Raw genomic sequence first — 26,383 nt, forward strand, 5'->3', positions numbered from 1 at the left:
GTCAGAAAAAGACAGGACTTTTATCTCTGCACCCATTTAGGTGTTTGATGTTTGCTGTAACATTATCATCACCTGTATTCTAGCATAGTTTTGGAACCTACTTCTTTATAAGTGTGGTTTGTAGGAATAGCCCAACAAAGAGATGATAAACAATTTAGAACAAAGCCAAAAAAATTAAAAGTCAAAACATAAAGGTACTGTGTTAATATTTAATTTTCTACTTCCTCCCTCTTTGGGCTTAGGTGTTTTCTCTCTCCCTTACTTGGGGCTAGAAGCTTCTGGCTCTGAAGTCCCTGGAACACTCTTTAAGTCTCAGTTGTCTACTGTTCTGTCACTCCTTTCCTCCTCCAGTTTTGAAATAATTCCTCAGGAGAGATTTTAGGTCCTACTTTTTAGAACTTAGCCTTTCTTCACCCGATGACCTGGCAGGAGCTCAGAGATGAGTGACTCTGGTCACCCAGCCCAGGAGTTCTCATGAATCCATTTTTCACATTGGCAGAGGAGGGTGATTGCCTCTTCTCCATATATGACCATCTCTCTTTCCCTATTCAGACCTTTTCTCCTGAGAAGCCCTCAGCATTGTTCCTTACCAACTGGGATTCCTCTTTTTATCAAATGATTCCTTAAAAACCACCACATTCTTGGTATAATACTGCTTCTCATGGTGCTGTTTTCTCTCAGGGCTCAGAGTTACAAAGACAAGAAGATATATGTATTTATCACTGAAATAATATTAAAACAACATAAAACGAAAATTGAAAAAAGGGGGAGGGGGGGACGTACACATACTTTCCTAATACCTGAGCAGCCATTTTTATTTCTATAATCTCTGTTTGCCTCCCTATCTATTGATAGCTTTCATCTACCCATGTATATATAATATAAGGACAATCATAATGTCCCTACAGTTTTGATACCTGCTTTTAAAAGTTAAGATATCAAAAATGTTCTTTCTTATTATACTTTATGCTCTTTGTATTTAATTTTTAAGAAGATAAACCACAATATATTTAACCATTCTCCTACATTTTTTTTCCCTTTTTTGTAATTTTGAAACAAAGATTGTGGGGAACATTTTTTACATTTATACTTTTACTACTTTAAAAATTGTTTCTAAGAATAAGTTTCCAGAAATGATGTCAATGAACAATTTATGGCTTTCAATAAAAGTGTAGCTTCATGAACAAATTTAAATAGAAGATAAAACATTGTCATATTCTTGATTCCTTGTGTGAACATTTTATTGGTTCTAAAAGGGAAAGATGTTATCTTAGCTCTTGGGAAGTCTCTGAAGTTGCTGATTTTCCGCAGTAACTGACAGCTGTCACTGTGAGTTGCCCCCTGATATCCCCTGTCCTTTTAGTTTCTCTATTTTAACTCACTTGACGTTGCACATATTTTGTATCTTTCTTCTGCTAGCCAGCTAATTCAAGAGCAATCACTTTTGCTTCTTTCCGCATTTCACATCTAGCACAGTGCCAAGCAACAGAGCAAATGAATAAATAATTTTTCGTATTTAAATTACTTTTAAAATGTCACCATTTTTTAAAAAAGGGAATAATTCTGAAATGAACTGCATACTTCTTTTCCTCTTTAAACATGCCATACTGCATATCTATTAACTGAACATCATTAGTTTATTGATTTATTTATACTGATGATGGGATAACGATATGAGACTGTTTTGGTGATGTGTTCAGGCAGAGGCTGATAATGCGAGATACAGGAGTGGGCAATAGCACATATTTTCTTAAACCTGTTCGTGATGTTGCTGGCTTACAGGTAGTTTGTCTCTTTCCCACAACAGGAACTGTATCATTTACTGCTGCCTTTCTGCAAGATGAGTTAGAGTGTAATTAGTCTCCCTAGGCCAAAGTGGGTTTCTCTTGCTCCAGAAAATCACCCTCTGTTTTTATCAGTTTCCTTTGACTTGTCAGCAACACTTAAACTATGATCTACGGTTTCTACGTCACTAGTAAAATAGACCCTGTCTCCTTGTCACTTTCAATTTATTCTTCATATCTTAATAAAAAGTGGCCTGGGGGAATTTGATAACAGAGTATAGTTGTGGCCAAGTTTCCCATGGCAGTTAGCTTGGAACAAACTCTTAACACAATGAGCATTAAACACTTATGCTTTTGAATGTTTGAAAAAGGTTGAAGGCCCAAGTTTTGCAAGTCCTGCATAATGGACCAGATTTTGCATGAAATATCTTTTAATATGTCACTTTTTGTTAAATAACATCAGACCCCTGTATGCAGTCAGTAAAGTAACATTAAGAAGGAATAGGCTGCTCTGTCTATGGAGCAGCCATTCTTTTGTTTCTTCTCTAATAAACTGGCTTTCACTTAAAAAAAAAAATAAATAAAACAGTTTAAAAAAAAAAAGAAGGGAGAAATAGTAGAAAACACTTTCTTAGAGTAAACCATAAAATTGACCAACAAAGGGTTGACTTTGTTATTCTTAGTTAAATAGATGATTCTGAAATTTTTTTTTTTTCAGCTCAAGTTACAAAAATGATTATAGAACAGGTTTCCACCACTTCTCTGTCAGGAATGCATTACCTTCCATTCCAAGGGTGACAGGTCAACGTGAGACAGCTCGCTAAGTGCCACGATGGTGGGGTTTTCTAATTATCAAATGTCTGCTTTGATGGGAGCCTGCGGTGCTGAGAGATGGGCCTCACTCCAGCAGAGTCTTGTGGTGTTTTATCCCTGGCATTTGCCAAGATACAGGTACTTCAGTCTCATTAAAATAGTCTGGTTATAAAATTGTAGTGGTTTGAGGAGAGATTGTGTTCAGAAATTATGTCTCTAAAACTTCTTTTGTAATGATATTATTGAACATTCTACAAATTTTTATAAAAAAGGCAGCCAAAAATACCATGATTCTCACCAGCCGTGTGATGCTTCCTTGGCCATCCTGGAACAAAAAAATGACAGAATTCTTTGTCAGCTACCGTTGCTATAAAACCTTTTATTTATGCTTTCAGTGAGCATGGGCCAGAGATAGGGACCCTGTGGAACTTCTGGGAAGCACTTATGCAAAAGAGGGTCTAGACTGGTGTCTTCCTCATTTTGATGTGGCACGCTCATGCACAGGTGGTGTGTGAAGTAGAGCTTTTTGTGAGCAAATACATTGCCGTTCTCGACATCCTGGTGCCTGTTTCTCAGTGCGCATGGTCGTGGGGTGGCCACTTGCTGCTGCTGCAGAACAGCTGGTCTCATAGTGTGTTCCTTTTTCTCTCAGATCTCCTTCTACCTGTCTCTTCAGGCTCTGGTTGCTTTTCTTTGCTTTAGTTTAAGAAGGTGGACCTCCTTAAAGGGCCTTCCAGCCAAACACAGTGCTCTGTTTTGTTGGCATCTGTACTAGGCTGTTTTCATGCTGCTGATAAAGACATACCTGAGACTGGGCAACTTACACAAGAAAGGGATTTAATGTACTCACAGTTCCATGTGGCCAGGGAGGCCTCATAATCGTGGCAGAGGGTGAAAGGCACCTCTCACATGGTGGCAAACAAGAGGCGTGAGAGCCAAGTGACAGGGGTTTCCGCTTATAAAATCATCAGATCTCCTGAGACTTACTCACTACCACAAGAACAGTATGGGGGAAGCCACCCCCATGGTTCCATTATCTCCCACTGGGCTCCTCCCTCAACATGAGGGAATTATGGGAGCTACATACAATTCAAGATGAGATTTGGGTGGGGACGCAGCCAAACCATAATAGCATCTAGTGGATGAACTCCAGTGTGACTGCTTGCTTCTCAGCCTTCTTGAGTATGTGGTTTTGTGGTCAGGTCTGTACTGACCATAGTGAAGGGAAAGGGCATTAGGACCCATCTGGGTCCCATTCTTGACTCTACTGCTTATAAGGCTGTGTGGTCTTAGGCATGTTAGAATCTCAGAGCTTCGTTCGTTTATGAAGAATAGTAATCTTCATCTCCTTGAGTATCCATCTCTCTGGATTGTTAGAAATGCTCAGCACAGTTCTTATGATGTATAAGGACCAGACACAGTCAACTTTTCTAGCTCTCGCCACTCCCAGACAGCCAGTTTTCTCTTGTTTTCTTTAACTGGATTCCATAGAGAGGCAAGTTGACCTCTAATGGATGTATACTTACATTTTGAAGTTTATGTATTTTTCTCTCCCTTCTTTGATTGAAATAATTAAGCCCCGAGGTGATGGAGTGAAGTTTATGAAACATCGTGTACCTTTTAGTCTCTACTCTGGAAAACTTCAAGTGCTACTAAGTGATATGGCGAGGTGTAATCTGATTGGATTTGTGCTGCACAGTCCACTTAAGCAACAGATAACAGCATGTCGTTGCAGAATGGACCATAAAAACCTCAGTCTTGACATGCATTGGCGGCAGCACACAAAAGGCAACACAAAACATAGAGATATGCTGGAAAACATAAGTGTGGGGAGAGGAACTGTCTTATCATCCAAACAATTGAGAAACGTGTGAGAGTAAAAGCAGGAAACAGGGGTCAGAATCACAGGGCCTGCACTAAAGATGCTGGCAGGAGGTTCCAGGAAGCCCTGGGGGGTAGCCGGAAGCAACAGTAATTCAGGAGAGACTCTGATCTTCCTTAAGAAGGGGCTGGGCAGCGGCAGCAGGGCGTCCTCTTTGATAAATACGAGGACAGGGTATAATTTCATAAGATCTCTGTGTTTGGTGCTTTGAAAGAGCCAGAGCCGGCCTCGTTACCTGCATGGGTCTCTTGACATTTCTTCTGAGCTTGTCAATGCCTGCTAGTTAGATTCTTGATGGGCAAAATCTTAGTCTGTGCAATGCAGCCCCACCCTGGGATTGTAGCGGTTCCCCTGGTTCAATGGAGGTGCATGTCCTAGAGAAAATGAAAGAGATCTCGTTGTCGGTTATACTTAAATCAATAAAATGTTTCTTCCCTCATCAGAGACACAATTCTGGAATGGAAAGTAGCTTATCATCTCTGAAGCCTTGGGTCCCCCGGTGGCAACCATGCCTCTGATTACCCAGGGGTTCCAAGAAAACAGGTCGTGTTCTTATGCAGAAGCCACAAGTGAAATAACTGATGAGTTCAGAATTCTGACATCTCCAGACACCTGCTGTACTGCACTTGTTTATTTATATCTGAACAGATAAGTGCTCCCAATATTAATCTATGCATCAAAAATATAATAAATCAGATCTGTATCCTTCTTTCAACAAGGATAAGTAGGCGAGTCAAATGCAGATGAGAAAAATGATTAAAATATATAGAATGTAAAATAAAAAGTGTTAAGTACTGTGAGAAGAACAGCTAGAGTGAGATGGGTATTCAAGAGGGATATTCAAGGAAGACCTCTTGGAGGAGGTCTTACCGTATCTGGGTCTTCAAAGATTTTCTGAAAGGCAGGGAGAGATGGGCCTGAGAAGGGAGAAGGGCACTCCGGACTGAAGATGCTGCGTGGATTGCCATAGAGGCTGTAGGTGAGAGCCTGGATGCGGGGAGCAGCTGAGTGGTTATCGTAAACCACCTGCACAGGAGGTGAGGAGGGCTTTACCCAGGGAGGTGACAGAAAGGATTGAAGATGTTGCAGAACTAACTTTTTGGTTATGAGAGACTAGGACGAGAGAAAGTCAAAGTCCTGCCAAGTTTCTGAGCTTGAGTGCTGAGGGGGCAGGTGGTGCTTTTCACAAGAGCAAAGAACAAAGGAAGAAGGAAGGAAGGAGCATGATGAATTCTCTTGAAATTGTAATCTTACTGAATCTGAGGTGCCACAGGACATCCAGATGGGTTCATCTAGCAGGTCTTTGAATGTGTTAGTGCAGGTTTGAACTCAGAGAAGGGTAAGAGGTAAAGGTTTAGGAGTCATTTACATAGAATTAATAGTTGGAAAAACAAAAATGAGCTTGCTAAAAGAGAATAAAGAATGCAAAGTTGCAATCTTGGAGATCATCATAGATTTTGGGAAGAGGGAGTGAAAAGCCAGAAAAGATTATCAAAGAAGAAACAGCCTGAGGGAAGAAAACAGGAGTCTGTGTTATCTTGGCACTACAAGAAAGAAGGGCATCTTAGAGAGACAGGAAGGGAGGATGAAAGAGGGGTAAAGAAAATTGACAACTGGGAAAAGGCCATCGGATATGAGTAAAGGTCACAATGACCTTGCAGGGGACTGTCTTGGTAGAGCAGGGACAAAAATCATATAGCAAGAGATTAAGGAGTGAATGGGCAGTTGTGAAGTAGAGGCAGTGAACAGAAATTATGCTTTCAGACATTTTGGTGGTGAAGTTTGGCAGGTAGCCAAGATTCAAGAGTATGGGTAGGAACAAAATGGCAGAAAGAAAAGACAACTGTATTAGTCCATTCTCACACTGATGTAAAGATACTACCTGAGACTGGGTAATTTATAAACAAAGGAGGTTTAATTGACTCACAGTTCCGCATGGCTGGGGAGGCCTCAGGAAACTTCATGGCAGAAGGGGAAGCAGGCACCTTCTTCACAAGGCAACAGGAGAGAGAGTGAGCAAAGTGGGGAAAGCCCCTTATAAAACCATCATATCTCATGAGAACTCACTATCACAAGAGCAACATGGGGAAAACTATCCACGTGATCCAATCATCTCCCACAGTGTCCCCCCCTTGACAAGTGGGAATTATGGGAATTATAACTCAAGATGAGATTTGGGTGAGGACATAGAGCCAAACCATGTCAATAACTGATGGAGTGAAGACTGGGAGCAGGCTGGCAGGGGACAGTGCGTTCTCTGTGGAGGGACTCTGGGTGGAAGAAGGCCTGGAGTGCAGAGAGGGGTTGAGGTGGAGAGGGAGCCAAGATGCCCACATCTCTCTGGCTGAGGGAAGAGCAAAGGTGTCTGTGAGGGCGAGTCCTGAGCTGGAAAACTGAGAAGGTCTGGGACAAAAATGCTGGAGGGAAAGGAATGCCGAGCCTTTGGCAGGACACACTGGGCTCAGGTAATGTGATTTATAGTGGAGCCTGTTGCCCCAGCTTTGTGACCTTCCTCATTAATACCTGGCAGTTAAGAAGGGGAAAATATGAATATTGTGCTCTGCTCAGATGGGCAAATGAGATAGAAGAAAAACAGGCAAAGTTGTCCTGAGTACGAGGAATGTGGATGAAGGGTTTGACCACACTCAGGGTCCCAGGGGATATGAAGCAAGGTAGGCAAGCTGGCGTGCCCCCGTGAAGCAACAGCACACACAGGGCAAGAGCAAGGGCAACAGATCACTGCACAGAAGTGAAATGAGATGGAAGATACAGACGTGTTCCCCAAAGCAGTGAAATTTACATTAGTTTCCCCTTTCTCCCTCAAATTCAATCAAATCTCCAAGAAGCAGAGGCAGAGGAATCCAAGGGAATGATGGCCTCTGAGAAATGCAGGGGGAGAGGAAGAAATGGTCTAAACAGGTGTGCGGGATGTGGAAGGAGAGAGTGGCAAGGCCAGGTGAGATGGCTGTGCACATGGGGACTGAACTGGAGGGGAGATACAGGGCCTCTCAACAAGATGTTTCATTGTCACCTTCTCCCTTCGTGTTTCCTCTCTCTAGGAGCTCTTACAGGCAAAACAGGATCTTCAAGATCTGCTGATTGCCAAAGAGGAGCAAGAAGACCTCTTGAGAAAGCGAGAGCGTGAACTCACCGCCCTGAAGGGAGCCCTGAAAGAAGAGGTTTCCAGCCATGATCAGGAGATGGACAAGCTGAAGGAGCAATATGATGCTGAGTTGCAGGCCCTGAGGGAGAGTGTGGAAGAAGCAACCAAGGTGAGGGATGGGGCAGGAGAATCTGGCTTGTGAACAGATGAAAGGGTAAGACCCTCTCTCCCACACCACTGCAAATCCCCTTCATTCCTTTTAATTAGAGAGTGAATCTCAATTCATCAGATCATGGACACAGAGCTTATTAACAAAGAATAAGCTCAATGGTCCTGCTATTGACCTTTTAAAGTCTATAAACTGAAACGTTGGTAGGGACATTGGTTAAATCCTGTTGCAGAGGGGGAGATGAAGAAGCTGCATATGAACACTTGAGGTTCTGCAGCCCCTTGCAGAGTGGAGGGATGTACTCTCCCAGGCGTTCCTAACGGTCAGAGGCCGAGGGCATTGTGTGACCAAGTTAATGGGCAGAAGTGCAGACGGGACCCAGATTCCTGGAATCCTTCATCCCCCACCCTAGTCTGTTCCTTTTGATTTTGTGTAGCCTTTTGTTGGACAATTCAGGTTCTTTTCTCAGCACAGTTACAAGAGGGTTAATTGGCTGAATTGCCGAAACCCTTCCAAGATAATTTTTCTCTTAATTGAATTCTTGGCTCCTACAAATAGATTCAAAATTATGCTGAAGTCTTTTGGGGCAGACGTCATACTGGCTGTTGAAGAAGAGAAAAACAGTATTTTGAAGGGGAAAATGGTTTGAAATGTCATGCCATCTTTAGGGAAAGAGGGGAATTACAGATTATAAAATTTTCAGAGACTCTGCAATATATAGGTTAAAAATGATGAAGAAAGAATTCTTGATATTGTTTATTCTGTGATGATTACAGTGACAGCTCAGAGTTAGTAGGCCCTCTCTCCCCTAAGCCCTATGGTGATTCACTGATTTTCAATTATGGCACAGTAATTGCAAATGACAAGAAATGAAAGATGGGTTTGTTTGTTATAACAATAAAAAGTCTGGGAAATAGACTGTTTGGGGTTATTACAACTTGGAGACCGTTTTTAAAAGCCTCTTGTTGATTTCCCTGTCTTATTTTTTTTTAGATTTGACTGAATTTGAGGGAGAAAAGCGAAACCGATTTAATTTTTATTGCTTTGAGGGGACATGCCTGTTATTTGCATCTCATTTCATTTCTGTGCACCAGCCTGGTATCCTTGTGATCTATCTTTATGTGCTATTGCTTCATCAGGTACATGCCAATAGGCTACTGAGTTAAAATTTTTCTCCTTTGGACCCATATCTTTATCACCCTTAAATCTTGCCTCAAAACTTGACTTAATGTGGTGTATTCTGGGTGGCTCCTTTAAGGGCAGTTGAGAATAGTGTTGGGGGATATGTTTGTAGTGATTTAAGTATAAGGAAAATCAAACTTGTGCCTCACATGGGGTGGGGGCTATTTATTGGAAGCTTCCAGGTTCTCTACTGTCAGAGATATGTAAGTGAGGAAAGGATACATGGTAGGTGAAAGGATATCTTTGTTGTATGGAATTGAGATCATCAGTAGAGACTTATGTTACTGCATTTTGTCCTGTTCAAATGTCTGCATTATATATTAACTCATAGTATTTTCATTATGCCATTTCAAGAGCGACAACTACATTGACCCATATCAGTCTGTAAAAACGAAACAGGCGAAGTAGTCAAGACGTGTATCACTGGCAGAGAATGGACAGTTTCCAGGCACCGGGAAGCTAACACAAAGGGGTTCGCCTTAGTACCCACTGGGGTGTGGGCCAGCAAGGGCTGTTTGTTCCAGGTTGTTTTCTATACTGCTGCCAGCAACTTTCCTTACAAAACCAAATCTGATCGTGTCAGCCTTTGCTTAAGTAACTTGCTTGACTCCCCATTGCCCCAGATTTAAGCTGAAAATTGTTAGCATGGTAGGGAAGAAGTCCCTTCTCTGCCTAACCCATCTCCAGAAAACTCTGTGTCTTTCAGACCTCTCACCTCTTCATACGTGTAGAGTGACTTGCTCCTGCTTTGCCATCTGAACAGGCTGTTGTCCTCCTGCAAGAATTCCCCCAAATGTCCTCTCTTTTATGAACATGCCCTAGATACCTATACTCCCTTTGGTGGAGTTAGTTGCACCTTCCTTCACCTTCCTTAGGGTTTCTGCGGAACCCTGGCCATTCTTCTACTGTAGTTTGTATCATACCCTATTATAATTTCTCATCTTGTCTGCTTCCTCCATTAGACTCTGCACTTCTTAGGCATAGGGGGCACTTTTGTCCTTTTTTTTTTTCCTGAGAGGGAGTGACAAACTCTAGTACCTCTGGGGCCAGACAGGGAGCATAAATGAGTAAAGCACTGAGTCTGTTATTGGGATGATAGGAGGGTATGGTGGGGACTGTGACAAGCTGGCTGGAGGGCATGTCCTTTGCTGGAGCGGTCAGTGGCTTCTCTGCTCCAGCTTAGAGTTGCCAGTGAGAGAATGCTGGGCCCATGTTGCTAGATCTTTCATTTTTTTCAAGAAGCCAGATATCTGGATGTTTCTGTGAGATCTCCCAACTTTTAAGCATATCTTCAAATTACAAAATAAATAAAGAAATAAATAAAATAACATAGACCAATACACCCCATATGCAAGTCAAGAGCCTGTGCTCTTAGCCTCTTGAGCTCAGCATGGTGCCTGGGACATAGTCACATCCGTGCGGTGTCTGGCAAGTGAAAGTTAGTTTAGGACAAATTTCCTTTCTGACTGGGTTTTCAGTCCCTGCCATGTAGTTCCTGTTGAATTTTTTCAGTGGTGATGTGGGAGGTCTTTTTGGGAACTCTAGTATTATTCTTTGAATTTCTGTGCCTTGCTTTTGAATTTCTCTGCGGTTTCTTTTCCTTTCCTTTCCTTTCCTTTCCTTTCCTTTCCTTTCCTTTCCTTTCCTTTCCTTTCCTTCTTTCTTTCTTTCTCTTTCCTTCTTTTTTTTTTTTGAGATGGAGTCTTGCTCTGTCACCCTGGTTGGAGTACAATGGCACAGTCTTGGCTCACTGCAGCCTACACCTCCCAGGTTCAAGCAGTTCTCCTGCCTCAGCCTCCCAAGTAGCTGGGATTACAGGCATGTGCCACCACGCCTGGCTAGTTTTTTTGTATTTTTAGTAGAGATGGGCTTTCGTCGTGTTGACCAGGCTGGTCTCGAACACCTGGCCTCAAGTGATCTGCCCACCTCGGCCTCCCAAAGTGCTGGGATTACAGATGTGAGCCACTGTGCGCGGCTTCCTTGCAGTTTCTTAAAGAGGATCCTGATTGTGTTTTTTCACCATATTAGCTTTTGCTTCTGAAGGTGGCTGCTTAACAAATGTGATAGAGTCATATTTTATGGGGGACAAATGTGTCAATTTAGTAGATGGATGCTGTTTTTGGTTATATTATTTATGTCTTGGTATTATAGAATAGAACATTAAGATTATTAAATATTTGGAGGAGAGTGAATTAAATATAATTTTTAAATCTGGTAAATAATGTTTCTTAAATATGTGCTCTTACACTTAGATTTTTCCTGCCCCAGGGGGAGAACCCACCCACCAACCACTATGGCTAAAAACTGACTTTTTTTTTTTTTTTTTTTTTTTTTAAGATGGAGTCTCACTCTGTTGCCCAGGCTGGAGTGAAGTAAAATGATCTCGTCTCATTGCAACCTCCACCTCCTGGGTTCAAGTGATTCTCCTGCCCCAGCTTCCTGAGTAGCTGGGATTACAGGCATGCGCCACCACACCTGACTAATTTTTGTATTTTTAGTAGAGACCGGGTTTCACCATGTTGGCCAAGCTGGTCTCAAACCCCTGACCTCAGGGGATCCGTCAGCTTCAACCTCCCCAAAAAAAAAGGACATTTCTTTAAGAAATTTTATTGCATTAAAAAGTTTATTACTTCAATAGGTCTTATGAAGCAGCCCAACCTTCTGTCATCAGTTTTTCTTATTCTTACCACTGCCCCAGTGTCAAAACCCCCTAAAGTGCTATTTTATCGTTGTAAAATAACCAGCACTTTATCCTAGCTTGAGCACTAAAGGTTTTACGTTACTAGAACATTTGGTGAAAAATGTCAAATTATATTTCGAATGTTGTACAGGTATTCCAAACAGATAACTCTGTAATAGTGTATTTTGTAAACCCATCAGCCATATCTTTTAAAGAACAGTTTGATTGCTCAGTGGATGGAATTCATGAATGCCTATGTTATGTGGGGTTTCCTCACCCAGCAGAATGAATTGCATCTCACTGGCAGAGCGGTGGAGGTTTGGGTTATAATGTGCACTATTTAAGTTCTCTTCTTATAGAGAAATGGATCTTCGTAGTCTGTTAGGAGAGTATATCTACCAAACATTCTTTTAAAGGACTAAGCCCTTAAGCAACTTATTTCATAACATGCTTTTTTCTCTGTTTCTGGTCATTTTACACTTTTTTTAGTTTTAAAAAGGAAATGTCTTCTTCTTCCTTGGGTTCGTGGCCATGGCTGGAACCCTTTAGAGGAAATGGGCGCTCAATAGGGATGTGAATGACTGCCATCTGGGAGTAAAATTAACCTTGTTCACAGCCGTTGGCTTATTTTTTCCAAACCTAACCCTTCCTATCTGCAACTCTTGTGCAAAATAGAAGTACAGACAGTATAGTTTCTTGAAGTTTCTCAGAAAGTAGGTTCAGCTCAAATTCCAGCTCTTCCAGGAACTTCCCTCGCTGCCTTTTGGACCTTACAGTTTCTAGAGACCTGGTATTGTTGGCAATTTTGCTCCGGGTTTTATCTTCCCTGCCGTACTAGGTACTGTCATCATCTTCTACTTGGTAACACCATTGTGCTTGGTACTTAATAGATGTTTAGTAAATGTTTGTGGGTTAGATGAATGAATAGACAAAAAGGGAGATGTCTTTAGAGTCCTCAACAATCTGAAGACCAACCATTAGACTGTTTTGGCTTTTAATTTATAAATTCAAATTACTTCTCATGAAAATGAACAAATCTTGTTTGTTAGGAGCAGTATCATGATGTTAATGTTAATCTTCGAAGGAGTAATTTTGCATCTAAGAGTTGCAAGTATTTTGATGCTGATAAAACAGCCACTTTTATTTTTGTGCCAGATAATATGACTTTTGGGCCATTAGGCACTTTCAGAGTGTCCAACATACAGCAGTTATGCAACAAATATCTCCCAAGGGAATGGATGAGGGAGAAGAGGAGGGAGGTTGAAGACATGTGAGATACTCTTGCCATCCTTCATTTCTCCGTTTGCATTATTTTTAAATACAGCACCTTACAAACTGATTTACTGAGCAACTGCCAAGTACAGGGCATCGTGCTAAGTTCGTGAGGACTATACATATAAATCAGGTGGAATTTACCCTTCCAGGAGATTGAAGGGGAGATATGTAACTCTCAAGCTGATTATAGACAAGAGTAAATGACCCAGGTGAAGTGGAGATAAAATCATATAGGAATCCCTATAGGAGACCCCATGGCTGTGCTTAGGAGGAGGACTGCTGGCAATCACGAAAGATTTTAGGGAGGGGACAGTATTTGAGTTGGATTTTGAGTGATGTTTGGGCATGCGGGCTGAGGACATTTTGGGTACTGAGTACAGCATGAGCAATACCTTGTAGGTGGGAAAGTGAGATGTCTGGGCTGGGCTTTGTGGAGAAAATGAAGTTAAGGTGGCTACAGATTCAGAGACTTAAGGGGCGGGTGCAGAGATCCAATGAGTGGACCGTGCTCGGATCCCAACTGAAACAAACTGACTGTAAAAAACAAAAATAGCTAAAATCATTGGGAACGTTTTAACACTCTATATTAATGATATTAAGAAACTAAACAATTTTTAAGGGGTGATAATAGTGCTATTGTTTTTAAGAGTCTCTGTCTTTTTTTTTTTTTTTTTTTTGAGATGGAGTCTGACTCTTGTTGCCCAGGCTGGAGTGCAATGGTGTGATCTTGACTCACTGCAACCTCTGCCTCCTGGGTTCAAATGATTCTTGTGCCTCATCCTCCTGAGTAGCTGGGATTACAGGCGCCTGCCACCACACCCCGCTGATTTTTACGTTTTTAGTAGAGATGGGGTTTCACCATGTTGGCCAGGCTAGTCTAGAACTCCTGACCTCAGATAATTCACCCGCCTTGGCCTGGCGAAGTACTGGGATTACAGGCATGAGCCACCATGGCCGGCTAAGTCTCTGAGTTTTAAAGAAACATACTGAGGTTTTTATAGGCTGTCTGAAATTTGCTTCAAAATAATCCACTTTGTTGGGGGAAGTCAGTGGGGTATGGATGAAACAAGATCAGCCATGCATTGGTGTGTGTTAAAGCTGGGTAATGGGTAGGTGAGAGTTAATTACCTATCCTCTCTACTTGTTGCAAATGTGTGAAGTTTTTTCTTCCTTTTTTTCTTTCTTTTTCTTTTCTTTTCTTTTTCTTTTTTTTTTTTTTTTTTTTTTTTGAGACAGAGTCTGGCTCTGTCACCTAGGCTGGAGTGCAGTGGCACGATCTCAGCTCACTTCAACCTCCGCCTCCTGGGTTCAAGCCATCCTCCCACCTCAGCCTCCCAAGGAACTAGGACTACAGCTGCACGCCACCACACCTGGCTAGTTTTTGTAAAGACAGGGTTTTACCACGTTGCTCAGGCTGGTCTTGAACTCCTGAGCTCAGGCCATCTGCTCACGTCAGCCTCCCAAAATGTTGGGGTTATAGGTGTGACCCACTGCACCCAGCATTGAAGTTTTCTTTGGTAAAAAGTTTGCGTGTGTGTGTGTGTGTGTGTGTGTGTGTGTGTTAAAGAATAAACAAAAAGAGTTAAAATAGGAAAGGTGGGGTGGGGTGAGATTATGGAGACTATTTTTAGTTGGTAGTCAGTGAGGGAGCAATGATGTTTCTTTTATTAGGGACTGATATGATTTGGCTATGTCCCCACCTAAATCTCGTCTTGAATTGTACTCTCATAATTCCCACATGTTGTGGGAGGGACTGGTGGGAGATAACTGAATCATGGGGGTGGTTTCCCCCATACTGTTCTCATGGTAGTGAATAAGTCCCACGAAATCTGATGGTTTTATCAGGGATTTCCGCTTTTGCGCCTTCCTCATTCTCTCTTTGCCTGCTGCCATCCAAGACGGGACTTTTCCTCCTCGCCTTCCACCATGATTGTGAGGCTTCCCTAGCCACGTGGAACTGTAAGTCCAATTAAACCCCTTTCTTTTGTAAATTGCCCAGTCTTGGGTATGTCTTTATCAGCAGTGTGAAAATGGACTAATACAGAGACCTAATGTGGGGACATTACTTGGTGGTGGTGTGACCTGAGGCTGCAGCTGGAATGGTTAGAAGTAGAGAGTGGGGAGGAATGAGCAGGTAGTAGGGGCTGACTGAGGAGACCCCGCAGGGAGCATGAATTGGGGTGAGGAGGAAGAAGAGAGACAGCTGACCTGAGCAGGCATCGTCTCTGGGTGCCTGGAAGGGGGCTGTACTGGGAATGGAAAGGCTAATGAGTTCATCTTGAGGTCCTGGGAGCCCTCTGTGTGAACAATGAGTGAGGAGCAGGGCTGCCCTATCCATCTGGGAGTCGTTGGACGGAGTGTGAGCGAGTGACAGAGAGAGAAAGAAGCGAAGGGGGCCGAGGGCCTGAGGAGGAAGAGAAGACACAGACACAGAGACCTGAAGAGAAGCAGCCACATCCAGTGACAGGAAAGCCAGGGGAAGGGCAGTTCATTTGACTTAGTTAACAGTCTATTGGGGGAGTTTCTAAAAGAAGGCTATTTTTGCATTAGACATGTCCATACTGAGTTTCTGTACTTTTGTCTTGTCTGTTCCTCATACTGTAAATTCTTTCTGCCCATATTTTATATTGTCTAACCCTTATAAGAATTTTATTCAAATTCAATAATGTTGAAACTTTTCTCCCCCTTCACCACCACCCTCCAATTTTGGCTGTGTGTGTGTATTTTACCCAGCAATTTGGAAATGTCACTGAGTCTTACAGAAATGAATATATGTTTTGGTACCGTGTTCCCACGTCATTTCTAGTTTTGTCCCTTCCCTCTTTCCTGCCAATGTCTGAAGAGGTTCTTCCAAAGCATAAGGTCAGCAGAGGGTCAAATGGTAAAACCAGTGCTAATCTCAGGATCAGTGGAATCGCTTCCCTTAAGACATGGCTAATTCAGTGTAAAATCTCATTTCTGTCTTCTCCAAGGGAGCCAGGTTAGCTAGGGAAACAGCAAAAATTCCTCATTTCCTCTGCATTTTAACTTCAAATAATCAACTTACCCTGAATGACGGCTACTGAGAGCTGGAGAAGTGGTGGGGTTTGCAATCAGGTGCCCAGGAAAAGGAAAATATCTCTTTTCCACAGACTCAAGCCTGCCTAGAGTGACATGGAACTTTCCATAGGCAAAAGTGAAATGGGAAGATTCAAGGCTAAAAAAAGATCTCTTTTTTTTTGTCTCTCTTTTTTTTTTTTTTTGCCTGCCCCAGAAATGGCTCTTTTAATAGTTGTATAACTCTTCTGCATCTTGTATTGATTAAAAAGTATATAAATAAGAGGTCTAGAGTGGTGTCCTGGGATGTTCCTTTTGAACCCATCACAGGCCCAGTGCCCCATTCTGTGGCTGTGATCCCAGGTGCCTCCCATGTCCTGAGAGTCAGTGGCTGTCATGAAAAAACTCTGGGGGGCTGGGTAATGGACAGATCTCTTAGCGGGCCTCCATGAGGGATAAACAGAGCATCTCTGCAAGTCACTCCTGGTGTTTTACCTGAGCTGCCTAGAGTCACTTGCTGTGGGTTAGGCTGTAGAAGACAAAGATATGCTGGTTTATCTTTAGATATGCGGATTCATTTGCCATCAAATGCCTGAGTGTGTTTTCTGTGCCAGCGCGGTGCTAGTCACCAAGAATATAAAGGCAAGCAAGCTGTGGTCTCTAGCTTTGAGGATCTTATGTGGTCTTGTGGGCAGAAAGATGTGCAAGTAAAATGACAAAGTTATGGTTGCTGTGGTTGAGGTATGTGCAGAGTAGGAGATTAGGAGAGGTTTATTGCTTTAGGTGGCAAAATTCAGGTGAGAAATAGCATGTCAGTTCTGTGAGTTGACACCCTAAGTGCTTTTTATGTACCAAATACTTAAGAATTAGAAAGAAAGAAACGTTCCTCTTCGAAGAACCTCTCTAGGAGCTTTGGGACGTTGGTGTACCTCGAACTTGCTGACTTTGTACCCAACTTCTTTTAGTGAAACTCAAGAGTTAACAATTAGAATTGCTAGGAAGACAAAGAAAAAATATTGATTTGGCTGGTGAGTTAAAATACATTTCACTTATTCAGTAAATCAGCTTCCAGTTACAGTTCAGATTTCCAGAGCGTAGGAGCTCATAAACTATTTCTGAGGAGAGCCTCTACCTTTCCTGGCTAGGATGACAGAATAAAGGGCTTCTCTTTCCAGGTCTACCATTAGGGCTTTTGGCGAGTAGATTTAGCAGCTGCTATTCTGTAGAGAGGATTTTGGCTTTAGCCTCACAGTGCAGGAAGAACTGATGGAGAATTCCATTAGGAGGATCCCTCACATGGAGAGGTAGGACACTGGGTAATTTTTAATGACCCTACCTTGGTGCTTCATGAACATGTTTAAGCAGGCTGGCATTTTCTAGCAGTTCCAATAAGGAGCAGAAGGTAGGGCTGATACCCAGGGCACCTCGATGACTCAAAATCACAGCAAATTCACAGGCAGCGTGCGGAGAAAGTGACAAGACTTAGTTGGGTAGAGAAGGAGGTAATGCGCTGGAAGCACAGCTGAGGAGCTTGGTCGCGTGGTCAGGCTGCCTATGCCTAGCCTTCTGGGGGGGCCTCCTGCTCACCGATGGAGTGAGGAGGGCCCTTGCCTGTTTCCCACCTGCGATGAACAGTGATGAGGAAAATAGGCTCAAACCACTCAGATTTCGTGTTCAATAGTCAGTGTCAATGTCTAACTGTTGGGAATGGATTGTTGATACAGTTTTTGGAATATCCATCCAATAAATAGTTCATTTATGGTCATTAATTAAGCAAATATCTAAGGAGCATTTTATTTATGTCAGGCACTGCGCTGGGTTGTAGGAATAACATGGAGAAAAGGGGTGAGAAGGACGTTATTCAGATAATCACATGGATAAATGTGTGATTTTCTGGGTGTGGTTGTGCACCCTGTAGTCCTAGCTACCAGGGTGTGTGAGGCAGGAAGATCACTTGCGCCCAGGAGTTTGAGTCCAGTTGGGTAAGAGAGCAAGACCCCCATCTCAGAAAAAAGAAAAAAATATATACATGTGTAATTCAGATGTGATAAATGCTTTGAAGTTCAGGGAGGGAGAAAAAGTTTCCTTGAGGAAAACGATGATGGAAATCTGAAGGATGAATGGGAATTAACTAGATTTTTAAAAATCCAGAGACTGGTCCAAGCAGAGGAAATAGCATGTGCAAGGGGGCTTGCAGCAGAAAGGAGTGTGGTTTGTTCAAGCTGTTAAACCATGGCAAGTGAGGCTGGGCTGTGAAGGGTGGTTGAAAGTCTGGTATGAGAGGAAGTAGAAGCAGATAGGGAACAGCTCATGCAGCCTGTATGGAGCATCCGAAGGACAGATTTTTAGAGAGAGAGACAGACAGACAAGCAGGTGTGTGTGTAGTGTTTTTGTGGGGGAGTGTGAATGTTTGACACAGACAGATTACTTCCATGGAAAAGTGCCTGCTCTGGGCTTGACCAGTGAGGTGGGAGGCCCTGGGATGATTCGTTCATGCTGACACTTAGGATGGAGGCACGGGATCTTTGAGGTCTCTTCCACAATTTCATTCTATTTTTAAAGGGATTATTACCTGTCCCTGTCTCTCCTGACTCCTGTGGAGAAAGGGATGGGAATAGGATTATGTAGGGCCCCATTTTCCTTATGAGTTTTTGCTCCTTGCTAAGTGCCAGTCTGCTGAATTTATAACATGTGTCTTTGGGCAGGTGGATGAGAGATGATAGGGCTTATAGCTGAAGGCAGAAGTTTGGTATGCTGACGGAGAAGGTTTGTAGGAGGAAAGTTTTTATTTGTTTCTTGCCTAATAAGGCTTTTATAATGGGTCAGCGGTGGGAATACATTTAAACACTTACAGAAGCAGAGAAAGTAACGTAGTGGGGTGCTTGCCTATCTCCCCATGTGGAGTGGATGTTCTGAAATCTCTGAGCCATCCATGGACACTGCCCAGAGTCTGGAAGTGTGAGTAACAAAGGAGCTATGGCTACTCACTGATGGCCCTACACCAGATGCATTTCCAGATGTGGATATGGTCAAGCCACAAGAATTGGGTGGTGCAGTGAGTGGGGCTATTATAAATAGCCTGGGACAGTCACAGCCACCATAATATTGCAAACAGTTGAATCCTTAACATCTAAAGGAAAAAAGCTTTATTATTGGAAATCCTATTCAATCTATGTTATACTCTCTCTGACCCTCTAAATTCTGCCTGATGGATATTTTTCTAAAGACTTGCCAAGATCATTAAGTAGATTTTTACTTGGTGGAAAAATTTGGCGTTATGATTTGATCACTTTAAGCAGAAAATGGAATATGTCATAAACTCTAAATTCATTAGACAAGAACCAGTATGGAAACAGGAATACCTACAGTGGCAAAGTTAATCAGAGTGCATAAGGCATTTACAGTAGCCCGTTGGCCCCCAGTGACCTGAGCCTTCTGGGCCTCTTGCTCCATTATAGTCCCTTCCCATGTCGAAAAGGTCTGATTTGTGTAACTAATAGGATATTATGGAAATGATGGAGTGTGACTTCCGTTGCTTGATCATAAAGGACATGTGGCTTCCTCCTTGCTTTCTCATGGATCTCTTGCTGTGGAGGAAGCCAGCTGCCATGTTGTAAGTGCACTTAAGCAGCCTGCGAAAAACCCCATGTGGCAAAGGACTGAAGCCACCTGTCAACAGCCATGTGAGTGTGCCATCTTGGAAGTAGATCCTCTGGCCCCAGTCAAGCCTTCAGATGACTATAACCTTGACTAACATCTTGACTGCAGCCTCATCAGAAACCCTGAGCCAGAACTGCCTGATTGAGTCACTTCTTCTTCTTCTTCTTCTTCTTCTTTTTTTTTTTTTTTTTTTTTTTTTTCTGAGACAGAGTCTCACTCTGTTGCCCAGGCTGGAGTGCAGTGGTGTGATCTTGGCTCAGTTGCAACCTCTCCCTCCCGGGTTCAAGCGATTCTCCTGCCTCAGCCTCCTGCGTAGCTGGGACTACAGGTGTGTGCCACCACGCCTGGCTAATTTTTGTATTTTTGGTAGAGACGGGGTTTCACCATATTGGCCAGGCTGGTCTCGAACTCTTAACCTCAGGTGATTCACCCACCTTGGTCTCCCAAAGTTCTGGGATTACAGGTGTAAGCCACCGTGCCCAGCCTTTGAGTCACTGCTTGATTCCTTACCCTCAGAAACTTTGTGAGGTAATGTTTGTCACTTTAGGCTGCTAAGTTTTGGGACAATTTGTTATGCGGGAATAAACAACTGATAGAACATTTTGACAAACCATCTCTTTGAAGCTGCATTTTCTGATAGCCACTGGCTCTAGCAGAACCCACAGCATCCTGCCATGCCCTTGGTTTAGTCCTTGTTATGCTGGACTATATCTCTTAGGTGATATGTCATGCTCCTCATCTTGAAGGAGGGGTGTCTTGTCCTTCATATCGTCAGTACTTTGCAGAATGCCCTGTATTTGCTGTATGAGTGAATCAGAATGTGTAGAGGTAAATAAAGGACACCCGCATAGTTTAAGGACAGGTCAGGGTTTTAAACCCAGCTTTGTCATTGACTTCATAGAATTCTCCTAGTCTTTCTCTGTTTTTATTTCCTCTCTTGTAAAGGGATACTATTTGTGTTATAAAAAACATACATAATATATTGCTATACATGCATATGTGCTTGTGCACATATGGATTATTTCAAGAGGGAGATAACTAGTCAATAGTGGTTACTTCTGGGGATATGTAGGGGGATGGAGTAAGAGGAAAACTTTCAAAAAACAGTGTGTAAACCTTTCATATCTTTTGAATTTATTCCATGTACAGTGAAATAAGAGTATTGATCTGCACCTCTCCTAAGGCAGGTCAAGAAGAAGTCCTAAGTTTAGTGAAGTATTTTTAATTTTTTGTCACTGGGGGCCCCTGCCTCTGCCTTGACCTTGACCTTCACCTTCTGTCTGCTACCCAGGTCTGTGGCTTCCACATCCACAGCAGCTCAGTTCCATCCTCTGACCTCCTTTCTCACAGTTGCTGCCCTGGTTCAGGCCTCAGCAGCCATCTCCCTATTTCCCCAACTGTGTTGCCCCCTTCTGACCACACCACCTGCCGCAGGTTGGCCACCCTCACAAGTCCCTGGTGGCTTCCCTTCAGTTACAGAGTCCTGCCTGGTCTCCAAGGCCTGCACTCCACCACCTGGCTCCCACCTGCCTTTGCAACCCTGGCCCTCACTGTTGTCCCTGGTGAGCTTGGTGCCAGCCACACTAAAGGATTCCCTGTCACCTCCACAGAAGAGTGTGCCCTGTTACTCCGTATTAGCCACCTCTGGGACTTTGCTTTGCAATCCTGACCTGCAAGAAAGGACAGTCCCCACAACAGAGACATATCTGACCCAAAATGTCAATCATGTCACTCTGAGAAACTGGGATCTATGTATATACAAGTGTGGTGTGTGTGTGTGTGTGTGTGTGTGTGTGTGTGTGTGTGTGTGTTTTCTTTTCTTCTCTTTTTACATAAATGCCTGCTGTGCAACCCCAAGCCTAGTTAATGAGCAATAGATGGAGTGACTGAATACTTTTGACACACCACATCTCTGATCCCAAAGAATCTTCTTCTTGCAGTGGGGAAAATAATCCTCCCAGGGCTGTACGTATTCCAGCCTCAGACTGTCTTTTCTGACCTGCTGTCCTGTGCTCTCTCACTGGATTCTCTGCGTGTGCCCTAGTGGTCTCCCTGCTTGCTTTCTTCTTTCCCCCGGCTCATATTAGCCTGTCTGTCCCCAACATCCTTCACCAGCCCCCGAGCTATGGTCTCCGCCATTTAAAATCGTGCCATCCTTCATGGCTCAGGTCAGATGACATCTCCTTCTTGGGTCCACCCAGCAGCTGCTGTTCTTTCTCTTTGAAATCCCCAGGGTCTTTTGTCCCTCGGGTGGCATTTATTGTGTTTTGCTTTGCCTGTAGTTTTTGTTTGTTTACTCAACACATCAAGCATCATGCGAAATCTGGGGTGCAGAGATGGACAAGGTGGCCTCTGCTCTCAACTCTTCCCCAGCCTAGTAGAGACAGACAAGAAAGCTGACAGCCAGTTCGGTGTGGGGCATGAGAAGCTGGCATATGGCACGGAAAGCAGAAGTTCGGAAAAGGGTGACTTTGCTCCGTGTAGGCAGGCCAGGGCGGGTTCCTAAGAGGGAGTGAGGCTTGGGTGAGTCTTGGGGGCAGTGGGAATTAGCAAGGTGACTTATGGGTGGGCAAGGACATTCTAGACGCAGGGAACTTCTTGAACCAAAGTATGTCTTGTTCTCCTCTGAGACTTGAACACCTCTTTAGGGGTAACCATTTTCCTTATTCATTTTTATGCCTTTTATAGTTTTACCTTAGACAGCTAATAGTTTTGTTTGCATTCATGTATTTATTCATTCAACAAATATTCTTGAGTGCTTATTTACTTGAGGTACTGGATAGATGTAAATGGATTTAGGCAAATAGTTGGTGACAGAAGAATTCAGTAGAAACCATCAGAGTAGTAGGCGGCCTCTGAAGTGATTAGATGTGGTTTAGTGAGTTTTAGCTACAGAGTAAGTCATGTGTTCACGGTGACCACACGTTAGAATTCTGGAAATGTGGGCCAGAACAAGTCCAAGTTAGATGCAATGGAAAAATCCCTCTGTCCGAGTCATCTCTAGGGAACAGAACTTGTTTGAACCAGCATTATTAGTTTAGTTTCATGAAAGACAAAATAAAGGGCAAGGTGTTTGCTCCACAGGGTGACTGCAGCAGTTTTCACAGTAATGAATAAAGTAATGCTGTTTTGTCAGCAGTGAGTAGGAGTTGGGGACTGGGAGAAGCTTGTTCCATTCCTCAGGAAATTCCAAAGTCATGCACGGGCCTTATCCTTGGGGAACTTACAGATGAAGGAGAGAATATGGCCAAGCACACATATTTCTCCTTTTAACACTTCCCTTCTTTTTCTTTCTTTTTGTTTTATTTGTTAAATTTCTGCACATGTTTCTCAAGTGTGTGGTCTAGTGGGAAGGAATACTGGCAGTCTCTGGGTTTAGGGAAACATTGAGTCCCCTTACAGTTAGAAATAAAAGGCTGGACGTGCTTCAAAGACTTTTTGAAATAAGGCTGGGGACAAAGAAGTCAAGCAAATAAATGATAGAGTCCAGAGAAGGTGGCATTAGAGATAGATCTGAAAGCATTCAGGGAGACGTGGTGCAGGAGGATGGGAAAATCTTGTTTTTTCCATCCCTGAATTGTCCAAGAGCCCAAAGACATCTACTCTGCAAAGTGTTTGCTGGATGACAGTGCAACGAAGACTTAGATGCTAGCAAACTTCGTTGGAAAACACTGGGTTCTTCATGTATTTGGAGCAAGAACCAAGGCATTAGTAAACTTTGGAAAATAGGCAGTGAGGTTGTCCGATAGAGTCCATCTGGGGAAGTATTTTGAGCCAGTTGGGTTTATAACTATGACCCTAAACTTGAGTCCAGCATATGCCAAGTCCAAAGGAAAGGTATGTTCTTTGGACCCCTCATGCTCTCTGATTTACAGGGACCTCTTTCTGCCTGGTCAAGGCATTTCATGACTCTAAGCCTATGACTTTTTGTGAGAAGAAGCCTTCCATGGCTCCTTTGCTGCTTGGTTTTGGGGTTTTGGAGGCACCAGGATGCCAGGCTCCTACCCTGTGTGCAGTGCTTCCTTCTCCCCGTCCCATTGTGAACTGTTTCCCTTGCAGGTTCAACTCATTGCCACTTCCTGTAGCTGTCTTAGTGACCCTTCAGGCCAGAAGCAGATGCCTGTGCTGTGTACCATGCCCCTCCTGCTGCTGAACTGGAGAGAAAACGTGGCTGGCAGGTGGTGAACTCTCTGGCTGATTCAGGCCCAGTGGAGAAGGAGGGTTAATAATTTACTTTGCCCCTGTGTAGCCACTGGTGTTGACCTTGTCAAAACACTAGTAGAAATTAATTAGAGTCTGGCCTGTCATTTAACTAACAGGATAGTAAGGCCCCAAAATAACTTCTTGTTTTGAGGTTAATCCTGTCTCTGAGTTTACGGCTGACATTCCTGTACATCCGGCCCTGTTTGCATCCAGCAGCCAGGACCGTGGGCTCATGGTGTTCATGGGGCTCACAAAGAGGGCACACAAGGTCAGGGGCCTGTCTCTCCATGGGAGCCGCTCATTGTGGTAGGAGGACAAAGGCCACAGTGATCAAGATGCTCTGTAGGAGAGGCGGCAGAACAACATGTGGGCCTGGTAGATATTGCAGGTGAAGAGCCTCCCCATCCCCCAAGCTTCTTTCATTTTAAATTCACAGCTTTTGTTTCTTGAGAAGTTCCGAATCTTTTGCATCTGGTGCTGCGAGAAGGTTCACCTGGTTAAACATCCTCAAGTCAACAGCACAGCTCCTTCTGGAAGGCACTTTAACTGGATGGGATCCTCTCACTGTAGACATTGCTACCTCCCTTTCCTGAAATAAAGCCTGCTCCAGAGCAGTGATTGTCTTGTGGTGTGTTGTGGAAAGCTGTTAATAGCTTAAAAGGTCTCATTAGCTGCTAGATAGGCCTAGACTGTGAAAGGATACATGGTGACCCAAGGGTAGATTCTTTTTTTGAGAGTCTCGCACTGTCACCCAGGCTGTAGTGCAGTGGCATAATCATGGCTCGCTGCTGCCTCGACCTCCCAGGCTCAAGTCATCCTTCCAGCTCAGCCTACAGAGTAGCTGGGACTACAAGTGAGTGTCACTACCTCTGGCTACTTTTTGTATTTTTTTTAGAGATGGGGTTTTGCCGTGTTGCTCATGTTGGTATCGAACTCCTGGGCTCAAGTGGTTCTCCCACCTCTGCCTCCCAAAGTGCTGGGATAGCAGGTGTGAGCTACAGCTCCTGGCCCAGATTCTTACCTTATTAGGGAGTATCTAAATTAATCTGTTTATTGATCTCTTAAGTAGAATCTGATTAATTGTCCATCAATAGCTAGCTGCAAAGCACTGCAGAAGCCCACTTGCCACTCTCCTTCCCCCAGCTCTCCAGGAAGGTGCAAGGAGTTGTTTGAGATGGTTCTGACATCCAGCTTTTGGGTCCCTGGTTTATTGCCTTTTCCAGTACATTGGCTGGCACCTTTATCCAGCCAACAAATACACGCTCTGTAAACATGCATGTACTTTTGGAGAAGGCAGTTGGACCAAGGTGAGGGTGTGGAGGATGGGAGTGAAAAACAGAGTAAGCCAGAAAAAGGGGTCATGGGAAAGGAAGGGCAGGAGCTAGAGGGAAGAGGCCTGGGGACTGACTAGTGCCCAGCAATAGAAACAATCAGCATTAGAAATGGGCAAAGGGGCTGGGCATGGTGGCTCATGCCTATAATCCTAGCACTTTGGGAGGCCAAGGCGGGCAGATCTCCTGAGGTCAGGGGCTCAAGACCAGCCTGGCCAACACTGTGAAACCCTGTCTCTACTAAAAATACAAAAATTAGCTGGGCATGGTGGTGCATGCTTGTAATCCTAGCTAGTTGGGAGGCTGAGGCAGGAGAATCGCTTAAACGCAGTAGGTGGAGGTTGCAGTGAGCCGAGATTGTGCCACTGCACTTCAGCCTGGGTGATGGAATGAGACTCCTTCTCAAGAAACAAAAAACAAAACAAAATGAAACAGGCAGAGCAGTTTGAAGAAACTTCTCAAGAAACAAAAAACAAAACAAAACAGGCAGAGCAGTTTGAAGTATGATGGGAATGAGGTACAGGGGAGGCAGGAAGGAGAAAAGTGCAAAGGGATAGTGAGAAGATGGGAGGTGGTGTGGAGAGGAAGCAGGGAAGCTGGTAGCACCAAGAAGTGAAAGAGGAGTTTGAGCTAAATATCTAGAGGATAAAGGGGGAAAAGATGAGTCTGAAAGGTATGAGAGGGTGACAGCAAAGGACAGAGGAGAAGCCGTGAGCTACATATTATGCCAGGTGAGATTTCTGCTCCAGGAATTTTGGCTCACGGTTATCCCAAAGAGCTGTGGCAGCAAGTGTTGGTTTTATTGCAGTATTAGCAGTATGTGGTTACTAAATAAGTGACTTTTGAAATAAAGTGTGAACTGTGAGACTCTAGAAGAGGATAAATGAAACTTTTATCACCTGAGATGGGTAATTTTTATACCTCTTATTTCTAGGGTCTCTCTATCCACAGCATTGAGCATGGGTATGAAAATATGCATTGAGGCCAGGAGCTCACGCCTGTAATCTTAGCACTTTGGGAGGTCGAGGTGGGTGGATCACCTGAGGTCAGGAGTTTGAGACCCGCCTGGCCAACATAGTAAAACCCTGTCTCTACTTAAAATACAAAGAAATTTGTTGGGTGTGGTGGTGTACATTTGTAATCCCAGCTACTTGGGATGGTGAGGCAGGAGAATTGCTTGAACTCAGGAGGCGGAGGTTGCAGTGAGCTGAGATCCTGCCATTGCACTCCAGCCTGGACAACAGAGTGAGACTCTGTCTCAAAAA

At 43.6% G+C, this 26,383-nt stretch overlaps 1 protein-coding gene across 22 annotated transcripts in view, besides 1 other annotated feature; it reads left to right on the plus strand.

The window, feature by feature from the left end:
• CGNL1 (cingulin like 1) overlaps nucleotides 1-26,383 on the plus strand; it is a 174,213-nt gene that overhangs the window by 77,637 nt on the left and 70,193 nt on the right. For all 22 annotated transcript variants that reach the window (XM_047433184.1, XM_047433186.1, XM_011522121.3 and 19 more), the window contains one exon: nucleotides 7,539-7,751. In XM_047433184.1, coding sequence (XP_047289140.1) covers nucleotides 7,539-7,751 — 213 coding nt within the window. The remainder of the gene's footprint in view (nucleotides 1-7,538; nucleotides 7,752-26,383) is intronic.
• Nucleotides 21,022-21,521: an enhancer, noted in NCBI's record as "H3K4me1 hESC enhancer chr15:57767361-57767860 (GRCh37/hg19 assembly coordinates)". NCBI's record gives its function as "activates a minimal SCP1, AML or CMV promoter by ChIP-STARR-seq in naive H9 embryonic stem cells {active_cell/tissue: H9 hESC(naive)}" and the evidence as "EXISTENCE:reporter gene assay evidence [ECO:0000049][PMID:30033119]".

Source organism: Homo sapiens, chromosome 15, assembly GCF_000001405.40.
Source record: "Homo sapiens chromosome 15, GRCh38.p14 Primary Assembly".
Classification (NCBI taxonomy): Eukaryota; Metazoa; Chordata; class Mammalia; order Primates; family Hominidae; genus Homo; species Homo sapiens.